The sequence below is a fragment of the Homo sapiens genome, chromosome 1 (assembly GCF_000001405.40).
Source record: "Homo sapiens chromosome 1, GRCh38.p14 Primary Assembly".
Lineage (NCBI taxonomy): Eukaryota > Metazoa > Chordata > Mammalia > Primates > Hominidae > Homo > Homo sapiens.
This window is the reverse complement of record NC_000001.11, coordinates 246,616,531-246,630,363: the sequence shown is the minus strand read 5'-3', so window position 1 is coordinate 246,630,363 and position 13,833 is coordinate 246,616,531. Positions and strand designations below refer to the sequence as shown.

At 42.8% G+C, this 13,833-nt stretch overlaps 1 protein-coding gene across 11 annotated transcripts in view; it reads right to left on the bottom strand.

Moving 5' to 3' along the window:
* Window positions 1–13,833, bottom strand: part of CNST (consortin, connexin sorting protein) — a 102,140-nt gene that overhangs the window by 38,232 nt on the left and 50,075 nt on the right. For 8 of the 11 annotated variants that reach the window (XM_011544111.2, NM_152609.3, XM_011544112.2 and 5 more), the window contains one exon: window positions 8,730–8,935. The exons of 1 other annotated variant lie outside the window; for it this stretch is intronic. In XM_011544111.2, the coding sequence (XP_011542413.1) occupies window positions 8,730–8,935 (206 nt within the window). Of the gene's footprint in view, window positions 1–8,729; window positions 8,937–11,962; window positions 12,107–13,833 lie in introns of those variants that run through there. 2 more of the 11 variants (XM_047447906.1, XM_011544114.3) reach the window with 2 other exon arrangements.

The window sequence follows — 13,833 nt, the reverse complement described above, 5'->3', positions numbered from 1 at the left end:
CTTATTGTTCTAATAATATGTTTTAAAAGTAGTATGAACCAAGTCAAACTGCCAATCTTCAACCATTTCTTTAGCTTACAAAATGAGAATTTCATATAATGGTGTAACCAGCAGTGTGCTAATATTTAACAGTCGTCTCCAGAGTGTTGGGGAGAGCCCCAACTTGCAGTGTTTGCTCATTTCAGTGGTGTCAATACTCCCACCATGGCCGATGTCAAGCTACCAATGTGATGGACGTCAGTAAACATGGTTCTCATATGTCAGTACTAGCAGGTTCCAGCATATGAGGGGGTTACACCTAATTGAAATCAATGATGACATTTCAACTGCAGAGCCGGGCATGGCAGCTCATGCTTATAATCCCAGCACTTTGAGAGACCGAAGCAGGCAGATAATTTGAGTTCAGGAGTTCGACACCAGCTTGGCCAACATGGCGAAATACTGTCTCTACTAAAAACACAAAAATTAGCTGGGTGTGGTGGTGTGCACCTGTATTCCCAGCTACTTGGGAGGCTGAGGCAGAAGAATCACTTGAACCTGGGAGGTAGAGGTTGCAGTGAGCCGAAATTGCGCCACTGCATTCCAGCCTGGGTGACAGTGTGAAACTCTGTCTCAAAAAAACAAAGAAAAAAAAATTTCAAGTACAAACTTCCAGTGAAAACATCTATGGTATTGCACAGTTTCCTTTCTATATATGGTATGAGATATAGTTTCAGGTTGCCCATTAAAATAAAATGTCTGGCTCTTCAAAGCCATTTTTCCTGCCTTTTTGCATTTGTGCAAAATTGGCACATGGTTACTTATAAATAGCTCTTATTTGAGGAGTTTTGATGGGGTCCATAACTATTATGTCACCAGATTTCCTGGCACTGCAGAAATTAGCTTGCAGGCTTCTGTAGCAGTTCTAATACCATAAAGTAACTATGCAGAGAAGGTTATGAAACCCAGTGCCTCAAAAGTAAAATTTCCAGGTAAAAAGTCATCTTGAGAAATAAATATACAAAGTATTTCCCCTTTAAAAATCTCCCCCTTGCAAGTCTAGCAGGAAGAGAAGATGTGACTTTTTTTTAAAGCATATTTCTAAATCTGAAAGCTAGCCCAGTAGAGCAGAAAGAACATGGGGTTGGAGGTGAATGGCCTGTGTTTTAGTCCAAGCCCTGCCACTTACCAGCTGTGTGGCCCTGGACACGTCATTTCGCATCTCAAGCCTCAACTTTCTTATCTTAAAACAGGGACAGTAATACCTGCAGCTGTATAAAACAAGGCTGCCATAAGGATTGAAAGAGAGATTGTGTTTGCTGCCCAGGTACAGGAAGCAAATGAAAATAAATAAATAAATACAAATAAAAAAAACAGAGAGACTATGTATCTAGCATAATGCCCAGCACACTACAGTAAGTGCTTAAAATGGTTTTTGAGTCTGATTTGGAATGAATTGCAAGATGCTGAGTGGAATCATGTGAAAAAGGTGAAAACTGCTGGGAAGGCAACAGGTGTAAGGTGATCCTGGTTATCCTTTTACCAATCAGGAACGCTCTAAAAAAAGACACTGTGAAGGGCCATGGCCTCAATCTTTGTGTCCCCCTCACAAATTCATATGTTGAAACCGAGTTCCCAGGGGATAGTGTGAAGAAGGGGGTATCTGGGAGGTGATTAGGTCACGGGGGCTCTGCCCTCATGAATGGGATTAGTGCCCTTACAAAAGAGGCCCAAGGGAGGGCCCGATTTTCTATATGAAACCTGCCAAGCATATGACTTCAGTTAAACATTTAAAGCTAATCTGTAGTCATATTAACTAAGTCAGTGTAAAAAAGACCACTCATACCTAAGAACAAGAACTTTAAAACAGAACTTTTAAGAGTTCCACGAGCTCAAAATACAAGTATATGTTGTCGTATTTCCATTGGCCTTTAGCACATATTATTCTATATATTATATATCACTTTTTAAATCACAATTTTCCTAAAATTAGTTCTCACACTCGAATACCTTATTTCTGTTAATGGTCCTACAGTCATCTCTGATTTCTCCTTTATTCTCTTTTTACAATTGTGATGGTTAATACTGAGTGTCAACGTGATTGGATTGAAGGATACAAAGTATTGATCCTGGGTGTGTCTGTGAGGGTGTTGCCAAAAGAGATCAACATTTGAGTCAGTGGGCTGGGGAAGGCAGACCCCCTTTTAAACTGGTGGACACCATCTAATCAGCTGCCAGGGAATATAAAGCAGGCAGAAAAACATGAAAAAGAGAGACAGGCCTAGCCTCCCAGCCCACATCTTTCTCGCGTGCTGGATGTTTCCTGCCCTCGACCATCAGACTCCAAATTCTTCAGTTTTGGGACTTAGCTCGGCTCTCCTTGCTCCTCAGCTTGCAGACAGCCTATTGTGGGACTTTGTGATCATGCGAGTTAATACTTAATAAACTCCCCTTTATATATATAAATATATATAGGATATATATAAATATCCTATGAGTTCTGTCCCTCTAAGAGAACCCTGACTAATACAACAATCTATACCAAGTCCTAGTTATTCTTCCTTCCAAAGATCTCACATCCATCCCTCTCCATTTCCACTGTCACCACTTTAGCCTAGATGCTTTCATTACCTTATGCCTGAATTATGTCTTCTTTTAGTTCTTATTTTCATCCAAATTTTACATGTCTATGCTTTAAGGAGTCAAATACTTCTACAAACAGGAAAATGATAGAAAAGCCTCTCCCCAGACTCTTGTGATCCACTCGAAACAGGACTGGTTACCCTCTCCTTCCTGGCATACAGCTGTCATCTTAAAATCTCCCTTTGCTTAGATTCCCTTCACCTCTGTCCTGAGTAGGATTCCCAGTTTCCTGTATCTCACACCTTCCTGTTTCTTGGTTTACTCCCTTGTTTTGCTGGAGCACATCACCTAGTGGCTTCCTGAGAAGGAGTAGATAGGAGATACCAGAGGACCTGAAGTGGGAACATCCTTGGTATATCTGAGAAGCTGTCAGAAGGCCAGTGAACCTGGAAAGGAGTGAGTTAAGGAGAATTTTAGCAATGAAGATCCAGGAGGCTAACAGGACAAGATCATGTAGGGCCTTGTAGGCCACGGTAAGGATTTTGGCTTTTATTCTAAATGAGAAGGGAAGCCATCGGAGGGCTTTGCACAGTGGAGTGACAAGATCTGACTTATGTTTTATCTGCATCACAGTGACGGTCATGTAGAGAGAAAGCACTAAGTGGAAGGGAGAGTGAAGGCAGAAAAGTCTCTATAGTGAGAAATTTATTGCAAGAATCTGGGTGAGATTTGATGGTATCCTGTACGGAAATGGTAGCAGTGAAAGAGGTAAGAAGTTCTGGGTATATTTTGAAGTAGATCTGCAGGACTTGCTGTTGGATTGGATTTGGATGCAGGGAAAAGTAAATAAAGTATCACTTCAAGGCATTTGGTCTCAGCAACTAGAGGGACGAAGTTGGCATTTAACAAGAGAGGTAAGACTAGGAAAGCAGCAGATACGGGAGAAAATCAAAGTTTGAGTTTGTACATCTTAAGTTTGAAATGCCCATGAGACATCTTGAGTTGCTGGATAGTTAAGTCTGGAGTTCAGAAAAGAAATAGGACAGGCCGGGCACAGTGGCTCACACCTGTAATCCCAGCACTTTGGGAGGCTGAGGCGGGCGGACCACCTGAGGTCAGGAGTTTGAGACCAGCCTGGCCAACATGATGAAACCCCGTCTCTGCTAAAAATTTAAAAATTAGCCAGGTGTGGTGGCACGTGCCTGTAATCCCAGCTACTTGTGGAGCTGAGACAGGAGATCACCTGAACTCGGGAAGCGGAGGTTGTAGTGAGCCAAGATTGTGCCACTGCACTCCAGCCTGGGCGACACAGTGAGACTCCGTCTCAAAAAAAAAAAAAAAAAAAAAAAAGGACAAACCTACAGGATTGGATGAAAACACCAGGAAGTGAATTCAGAATGAGAAGAGATTCAAGAACTGAACTCTGACGCATCCCAGTGTTTAAAAATTAGGGCTGGGTGCAGTGGCTCATGCCTGAAATCCCAACACTTTGGGACACCAAGGTGGGAAGATCACTTGAGGCCAGGAATTCGAGACCAGCCTGGGCAACATGGTGAAACCCCGTCTCTACAAAAAAATAAAAAAATTAGCTGGGCACGGTGGCATGCGCCTGCAGTCCCAGCCACTTGAGAAGCTGAGGCAGGAAGACTACTTGAACCCGTGAGGTGGAGGCTGCAGTGAGCCGTGATGATGCCACTGCACTCCAGCCTGGTGACAGAGTGGGAAAAAAAAAAAAGGAAAATATGGGAACTCAGAAAATGAGCCGGAGAAGGCATGGCCAAGTGATGTAAGAGGTAAAAGCCAAGAAAAGAGCTCCCAAAGGCAAATAAACAAAACGCTTCAAAACAGAGTATGTGATCAACTTGACGTTTCCAATAGCTCCAGTGAGATGAAAACTGAGGTCTGACCACCGGATTTAACAACATGGAAATCACTGGTGACTTTTACAGTGCAATTTTGGGGGAGTGGTGGGAACAAAAACCAGATTAGAATCAGTTCAAGAGAGAATTGGGTATGGAATGTTACCTAAGTAAATTCTTGCCCAGAATGTTTAACCTGAATCAAATCTTAAAGAAATAATTAGGCCGGGCGCAGTGGCTCACACCTGTAATCCCAGCACTTTGGGAGGCCGAGGCGGGCGGATCGTGAGGTCAAGAGATCGAGACCCTCCTGGCCAACATGGTGAAACCTTGTCTCTACTAAAAATACAAAAATTAGCTGGGCGTGGTGGCACGGGCCTGTAGTCCCAGCTACTCAGGAGGCTGAGGCAGGAGAATTGCTTGAACCCGGGAGGTGGAGGTTACAGTGGGCCAAGATCACGCCACTGCACTCCAGCCTGGGTGACAGAGCAAGACCCCATCTCAAAAAAAAAAAAAAAAAAAAAAAAAGAAAGAAATAATTAGACAAATCCTGATTATGGGACATTCTACATGAATTCTTAGACTGTTCATAAATGTCAGTGTGAAAGAAAGAAAGGGGCGGAGAAAGACTGATACAGATAGAAAGGCTGGGAGCATTCTGGATTACAGGAGACTAAAGAATACTGACAGTTGAATGCAATATGCCATCCTGCACTGAATCCTGCACTGGGGGAAAACAGTTGCACAGAACATTTGTGGAACTACTTGGGGGAAATTTGAATATGGATTGTATATTAAATAATTTTATTGCATCAGTGACTCATTTCTTGGGGTTGATAATGGCCTTGTATGTTATGTAGGAGAGTATCCTTCTTCTTGGGAGATTTATGTACAAATATTTAGGGGTGAAGTGTCATAATGCAAATTACTTTCAACTGTTTCAATGGAAAAAATACGTGTGTGTGCACGAGAGAGAGCAAGAGCAAAAAGGCCAGGCGTGGTGGCTCACGCCTGTAATCCCAGCACTTTGGGAGGTCAAGGCGGGTGGATCACCTGAGATCAGGAGTTAAAGACCAGCCCGGGCAACATGGTGAAACCCCATCTCTACTAAAAATACAAAAATTAGCTGGGCGCAGTGGCACATGCCTATAGCCCCAGCTAAAAAACAGAGCAAAAATTTGATAAAAATGTCAACAACTGGCAAATCTAGGTGAAATATACCATGTGATGTGCTGGGAATTACTAAAATGAATAAAATATATCTCCATCCCTCCCTGATTTGTGTGTCCCTTGGGAGGTGACAGGATATTCTGTCTTCTTGGGCTGAGGAGGCAGCCATCAACCGAATCTTGTCACCCTGACGTCTCAGCTTTCTAATGGCATCAGTATTTCTTTGCTGATCCCCAGACTTGATTTCCAATGAGCAATCTCTGAATTAGTGACAGTAGGAATAGAGTTTAAATGTTTAATATTTCTTTGGCTTTTACTGTACGTCAAACATATGTTAAGTGCTTTTACATGCATTATCCCATTTAATCCTCTATTACTTTACAACAGGAGAAACCAAAAGCCACTTAGCTTGTGGTAGGGCCAAAGCCCATACTTTTAAACCACCACCGTATTCTCTAACCTTCTTTCCCAGGAGAGAAAAGATTGCCGTGCAATCCACTGTTCAAATGCAGTGAAAGCTGAGTGATTAGAAAGCTGCCTTGATGTTGGTGCTACTCAACAATGGTGAGTTCGTGACAGCTTAGAGGCCAGGAGTATACATTTCCTCAAAGGCATTCTTCAAGTTCGTAAAGGAGATAATACAAATTTGTAAAAGTATACATTTTCCTGAATTGGGACAAAACCTATTGAACTTTTTGTTTGTCTATTTTTAGATGGGGTCTTCCTCTGTTACCCAGGCTGGAGTGCAGTGATGGAATCACGGCTCATTGCAGCCTCAAACTCCTGGGCTCATGCAATCCTCCCACCTTAGCGTCCTGAGTAGCTGGGATTACAGGCGCACGCCACCGTGCCTGGCTACATTTTTTTTTTTTTTGTAGAGACAAGGTTTCATGATGTTGCCTAGGCTAGACTTGAACTCCTGGGCTCAAGCAATCTGCCTGCCTCGACCTCCCAGAGTGCTGCATTACAGGTATGAGCTACCGCGCCTGGCCCTATTTTCCCTTTTTTTTTGAGACAGAGTCTCACTCTGTCACCCAGGCTGGAGTGCAGTGGTGCGATCTCCGCCCACTGCAACCTCCGCCTCCTGGGTTCAAGCAATTCTTCTGCCTCAGCCTCTCGAGTAGCTGGGACTACAGGCGCGTGCCACCATGCCTGGTTAATTTTTTTGTGTGTGTATATTTTTAGAAGAGATGAGGTTTCACTGTGTTGGCCAGGCTGGTCTTGAACTTCTGACCTCACATGATCCACCCACCTCGGCCTCCCAAAGTGCTGGGATTATAGGTATGAGCCACTGTGCCCTGCCTACTTTACTTTTTATCCCATTTTCTGTTTGCCCTGAGAATACTCTTGTCTCTGATCCTAATGTAACATCATATCCGTTTTTGTTACATTAGGATTAGAGACAAATTCTGTTTAGAAATAACTCCAAGAACAGTTTTTCTATTTTATTTTCACATTGACAATTAGTCAAATTTGCTTCAGCCTCAAAGAGCATGTTTATGTAAAGCTGGGCACTTGCAGCCAGCTGCACTATTTTTTTTTCTAAATGGGTTAAAAATTAAAAATTATTCACTTCTCATTACAAAAGTAAATCACTTTCTCCATTCCCATGTACCAGTTAATTTCATTTTATGTAAAAATAAAATGCAGGCTGGGTGCAGCGGCTCGCGCCTGTTAATCCTAGCACTTTGGAAGGCCGAGGCGGGTGGATCACTTGAGGTCAGGAGTTTGAAACCAGCCTGGCCAACATGGTGAAACCCCATCTCTACTAAAATACAAAAATTAGCCAGGCGTGGTGGTGTGTGCCTGTAATTCCAGCTACTCAGGAGGCTAAGGCAGGAGAATGGCTTGAATCTGGGAGGTGGAGATTACAGTGAGCTGAGATCATGCCGCTGCACTCCAGCCTGGGCAACAGAGTGAGACTCTGTCTCTAAATAAATAAATAAATACAATACAATACAATAAAAAATAAGATGCAGCTCAAATATCTTAATTTCTTCTGAATTAGCTCTTATGTAAAAAAAAAAGTTTCCTCACCACCGGCCTAAAGGCTCCCCAGTCTCCAGCCTCTCCATCCTCTAACATCTACACCCTCTCAATCCTCAAAAGAGTTCTTCTTCTAAAATGCAAATGTGATTCAGGCACTCTTAGAATTAAAAATTCCCAGTCCCTAAAAATAAAGTCTCAATGTCACCAGCTATTCAATCTCACCTCCTCTTTTAACATCTTCATCTCCAATAATATCCCAGCCACGGCTTTCACAGGCTGATCTCTTCCTGGACCAGCTCATTCTGTTAACCCACTGAGCGCCTAATAAGCCTGGAAAACCCAGCTCAAGAGTCGCCTTCTGTTCCCAAGTGTCCACAGGGCAGAATGAATCACTCATTTTGTGCTGCTGAATCTTTAACATATGTTTACTCTAACACTGAACACAAAATTCCACACTTACTTATCGATAGAACCGTTGCTCCTGTTCTGCAGGGGCTCTCTTACGGGCATATTCTGCCAAGTAATCTCTGTTTACCCATGTCCAGCAGGGTCTTTGGTGCCTGGTAGATGCTTATCAAACTCTTACACAGCTTTATCACTGATTTAAAAAGTGAACCATTGTTTAAACTATGGATTAGCCAAGGCCAAGATGTGGCCATCAATTAGTAATATGCCAAATATCCCACGAGGGTCACCCTCCCCCGGGCTCACCAGTGATGAGTGGGACACAGTCAATTTTACAGAGATTGCATTTTATTTTTTATTTTTATATTTATTTATGTATTTAGAGACAGGTTCTCTCACTCTGTCTCCCAGGCTGGAGTGCAGTGGTGCAATGTCAGCTCAATGCAACCTTTGCCTCCCAGGCTTGAGTGATCGTCCCACCTTGGCCTCCCAAGTAGCTGGGACTACAGGTGTGCACCACCATGCCCGGCTAATTTTTGTATATTTTGTAGAGATGGGGTTTCGCCATGTTGCCCAGGCTGGTCTTGAACTCCTGAGCTCAAGCCATCCACCCACCTCAGCCTCCCAAAATGCTGGGATTACAGGCATGAGCCACTGCGCCCAGCCAAGACAGCATTTTAGATCATTCCAAACACTGCTAGGGGAATTTTCGTGAGGCTGAAAGTGAAGGGTTTACCAGAGTACCTGATGAAGGCAAAGGGGAAGTGCTCTTGAATCCAACTGCTCAACTTCACCTCGTATAAGTGAAAACAGAGACTGCAGAACAAGCTTTGGCGCCTCTGGCTGCTCATTAGCATTTACTTCAGCAGCTTCTTCATCATCAACAGCATATGTGACTGCGCTTAGTACTTTTTCTTGCATTAAAGGTGCAATATCTCCTGAAAAAAGTCCTTTAAGAAGTAAAGAAAATGCCTATGTTAGGATCAATTCCCATGATGGTGTAACACATTAAAACAATTACATATAGTTTGATGCCCTGGCTTGCCCAAACTAAAACAGACCTGAACAGGAAGGTAAATGTGTTTATCATATGAAACCACTAAAGAAGTTGAGTCTTTCTGATTAAACTCTGTCTGATAACATCAGAAATACTTCTAGATGCTAGGAGAGTAGCAGGAATTCAGATGCCAGAGCTAATGGCTAGTCAAATGTTTTTCCTAATAAAAAGAAGTAACACAAACTTCTCAAAAATCACTAATAAATAAATGCTTAACTAACAGCTACTGAAATACACCAAATTTTAAACACTGTTATAAATTATAACTTCACCCTTCACTGAAATCTCAGTGTCAGTTTTAATATTCATGTTCAAATTTAATAGACTATCTGCCTATGTGCATACCTTTAGCTAGACTGCCTCAGAAAGGAACTTCTTCAGTAATACCGTGTGTATGCACGACTGAAGCCATCCTCCCTGTAGTGCCCAGAGCCCATAGTGTGTACGCATGACTGAAGCCATCCTCCCTGTAGAGTGTGCCCAGAGCCCGTCGTGTGTATGCACGACTGAAGCCGTCTTCCCTGTAGAGTGTGCCCAGAGCCCATCGTGTGTATGCATGACTGAAGCTGTCCTCCCTGTAGTGTTCCCAGAGCCCATCGTGTGTATGCACCACGACTGAAGCCGTCCTCCCTGTAGTGTTCCCAGAGCCCATCGTGTGTATGCACGACTGAAGCCGTCCTCCCTGTAGAGTGTTCCCAGAGCCCATCGTGTGTATGCACGACTGAAGCCGTCCTCCCTGTAGTGTGCCCAGAGCCCATCGTGTGTATGCACCACGATGAAGCCGTCCTCCCTGTAGTGTTCCCAGAGCCCATCGTGTGTATGCACCACGATGAAGCCGTCCTCCCTGTAGTGTTCCCAGAGCCCATCGTGTGTATGCACGACTGAAGCCGTCCTCCCTGTAGAGTGTGCCCAGAGCCCATCGTGTGTATGCACGACTGAAGCCGTCCTCCCTGTAGAGTGTTCCCAGAGCCCATCGTGTGTATGCACGACTGAAGCCGTCCTCCCTGTAGTGTTCCCAGAGCCCATCGTGTGTATGCACGACTGAAGCCGTCCTCCCTGTAGAGTGTTCCCAGAGCCCATCGTGTGTATGCACCACGATGAAGCCGTCCTCCCTGTAGTGTGCCCAGAGCCCATCGTGTGTATGCACCACGATGAAGCCGTCCTCCCTGTAGTGTTCCCAGAGCCCATCGTGTGTATGCACCACGATGAAGCCGTCCTCCCTGTAGTGTTCCCAGAGCCCATCGTGTGTATGCACGACTGAAGCCGTCCTCCCTGTAGAGTGTGCCCAGAGCCCATCGTGTGTATGCACGACTGAAGCCGTCCTCCCTGTAGAGTGTTCCCAGAGCCCATCGTGTGTATGCACGACTGAAGCCGTCCTCCCTGTAGTGTTCCCAGAGCCCATCGTGTGTATGCACGACTGAAGCCGTCCTCCCTGTAGAGTGTGCCCAGAGCCCATCGTGTGTATGCACCATGACTGAAGCCGTCCTCCCTGTAGAGTGTGCCCAGAGCCCTGCCTTCTACTGCCCTGTAGTTCATATCTTTGGATTTGAATGTGAAACCCACTGCCCTGGCCAGACTGGTCCATTCTTCATCTCCCAAAGTAAAATACTTCCTGCCTTTCTGAGCAATTACAGATCCTAACGGCTAGAATATTTTCCTCCTGTTTAAGCCTATTTATGTTCTACTCTAATAAAATCCACATCTTTCCCTATAACATGAGCTTGAAGTCAAGTTACTTTCCTCTGAACCTGGTATATGGCCTCGTATGACGCTAGGTTGCAGTACAGTAATTGGTTTAAGATGTCATCTTCTATTTCACATCAACGCTGGCAGCACAGGGGTTATTCCAGTGATACCCAGCATGGTGTCTTCAACACTACAATTCCACGTGCTGTGCTTCTTTAAAAAATCACCTACAGTGATTACTTGTATTTTAGAGAATTCTCTTCTAGACACTTTATGTTGCTATACATTTTGGCCATTAGAAGTACAAGGCCCAGTGATGGCCTGCCATTTTTTAGGGTATTTCTAAAAACAGGAGGTGATTCTTCTGCTTTCTAATTTTCTAACCACCATAGCAGCAAAACCAAAAGGGTACCAATGTGGGTAAAGGAGTTTTCCACGGAGAACTACAAAGAAACTAAGAGAATTAGTGTTTTTTTTTTTTCCCTTTTCTCTAGCTACACTACTATGCCCAAGACATTTAATCTCATAGACTGTGATAAGGTCAGCTTCCCAAATTCTATTCTTCTGTTGATGACATTATTCCCCTATAGTTATCAGGGTATTACTCCAGGCTTCTTTGTAAAAAACAGATGAGATTTTGTGATGCTTGTTTTTAGTAAAAGGGAGCTAAATAAAACCCTTGAAGACTATTGCCAAAGAAGGATGGACTTTCAAAGTTAAGGAAAAAGGACAGAATTGATGACTCCCTTTCCAAAGGAGATCAAAAAAGGGTCCTGGATAATCGGCAACCTGCATCGTGGTTATCTCGGTTATTTAGTTAGCATCGATTTGTAATGGTCAAGTTTCCTGCTTGATCCATTTTATCACCTACTTTAATATTCAATGTTACTGATATTAAAAAGCAATACATTGGTAAATAAAATGATGTAACCAGAGAAACTCAACAGAAAGGGGACTATTATTCATGAAACCTAACAGCAGAAGTTCCAAAAGCCCACAGAAGTCTAAGGATTCCAAGAGCAGCAGGGGGCTAATGGGCAATTAGAAAGAATATCGTACTTTAATCATTGAGTGTAGGGAGGGGAAGGAAAATATGATCTAGGCTCAGAGGGGTCACACTAAATCACTGAAGACGTTAGCAAAACTACAAGACTCATACTACAAAAGGATTATCTGTCAGGCCTTAAACAACATGAGCTTCAGAGATAACCATTACTATACAAAACCATCTTACCTTGAGATAACATTCCTTGTGGGGACAGAGTAATATAAAATCAGAGAGCACTGGGAAAGGAGCAAGAGACTTCAGTTCTGCTATGATTTTTCCAAGAGACCTTCGATTAGACTTTTTACTTGCTGACCTATATAGTTTCCTTACCTAAAACGAAGAGATTGGATAGAGAAGTTCTCTAGTTCTGACCATCAAAAACATTCAAAATCTCCAGAGGTTTTGCTACATAAGAAATGCAGACCATTACTGTGAAGAAGCTTGAGCAACTATTTACGATAATGGAAGGTAAGGTTACCCACCTAATACAAGTATCTTCTAGTTCCTTTCTGGGTGTATTTTTAAAACCATTGTTCCTCCCTTGCCTAGACTGGTGACTACACAAATAGTGGTGTGTTTGCTTTTCAGGCAAGAAAACTGAATGTCCTTGCAAGAAGCGTGCTGCAATACTCCCTACCAAAGAGCAGGTTGTTCTTCTAGCTCTGCCAAGCTCTTAGAATAGAATTCTATCGTGGCTCAAATAATCATAGCAATTGTTATACATGTTATGAAATGACCAAGGATGTACTTTACTTTAGGCACATATAAAATAGGAAAGTAACACTAGCCATATTCTGGTTGCTTGGAATTTTAAGCCACTTAAAATATGGTGTTCTTAGTTTCACAGCATTAATGGGGTAAAGAACTCATATTAGAAAACTGTTGCCAAAGAGTTGGAAGAATGACATGGATATTAAGGCAGCCCTAAGTTCTCAGCATGCTTCACCTACTTATTAGCCATACTTTTGGCAAGTTAATCTCTTTGATCCTCTATTTTTTCCTCTGTAACATGGGGGCTGTTGCATCTACCTTATAATATTAGTGTGAGGATTAAATGAGACAGTGCATGCCAAAAGCAGGAGTGCCCCTAAGTCTCAGCCTGAAAAACAGCTTTATTGTCACTTAACTGAAAAAGGTCACAAGAGTGGTAAAGCAGTTCTGAGACAAGTCCAATCTTATTTGAGGACAAACATTCAGAGGAAAGTGTAGTTAAAGCTAATAAAGTTTATATGACTCATGTCATAGTGAATAATAGGAGTTATAAGAACTAAGCTGGAGTATTAAATTGCTTAGGTTATTATTCACCAATACTGTAGGTTTGAACATCATTGAGCTTGTATATATTTTTTCACATTTTATCATACAATATGTAGCCTTTTCAGATTGCCTTCTTTCACTTAGTAACATGCATTAAATTTTCCTCTATGTCTTTTAATGCTTGACAGTTCATTTCTTTTTAGTAAGGGATAATATGCTAAGAGCTTATTTTTAGTAAAAGCAATAATAAAGAAAATAAACATTAGCATAATCAGGAGTACTTAGACTGATGTGCTGTGAGTTGACAATTGTGAATTGTGTGTCTTTATAATATACTAAGATTTTAAAGTAATATTAAAGCATTCATGATGTAACACGGAAATTTTAGTATTTTTCCGTGTGAATTTCAAAAAATTTTTATTATTACGTTTGATGTCACATGAGTCTTACAAAGTTTTGCTTGAAAAAAAAAAGTATTGGCCGGGCGCAGTGGCTTACCCCTGTAATCCCAGCACTTTGGGAGGCCAAGGTGGGCGGATCATGAGGTCAAGAGATTGAGACCATCCTGGCCAACATTGTAAAACCCCGTGTCTACTAAAAATACAAAAATTAGCCGGGCGTGGTGGCGTATGTATGTAGTCCCAGCTACTCGGGAGGCTGAGGCAGGAGAACTGCTTGAACCCGGGAGGCGAAGGTTGCAGGGAGCCAAGACTGGGCCACTGCACTCCAGCCTGGCAACAGAGTGAGACTCCAACTCAAAAAAGAAAAAAGAAAAAAATAAGTCTCATTCTGTTGCTCAG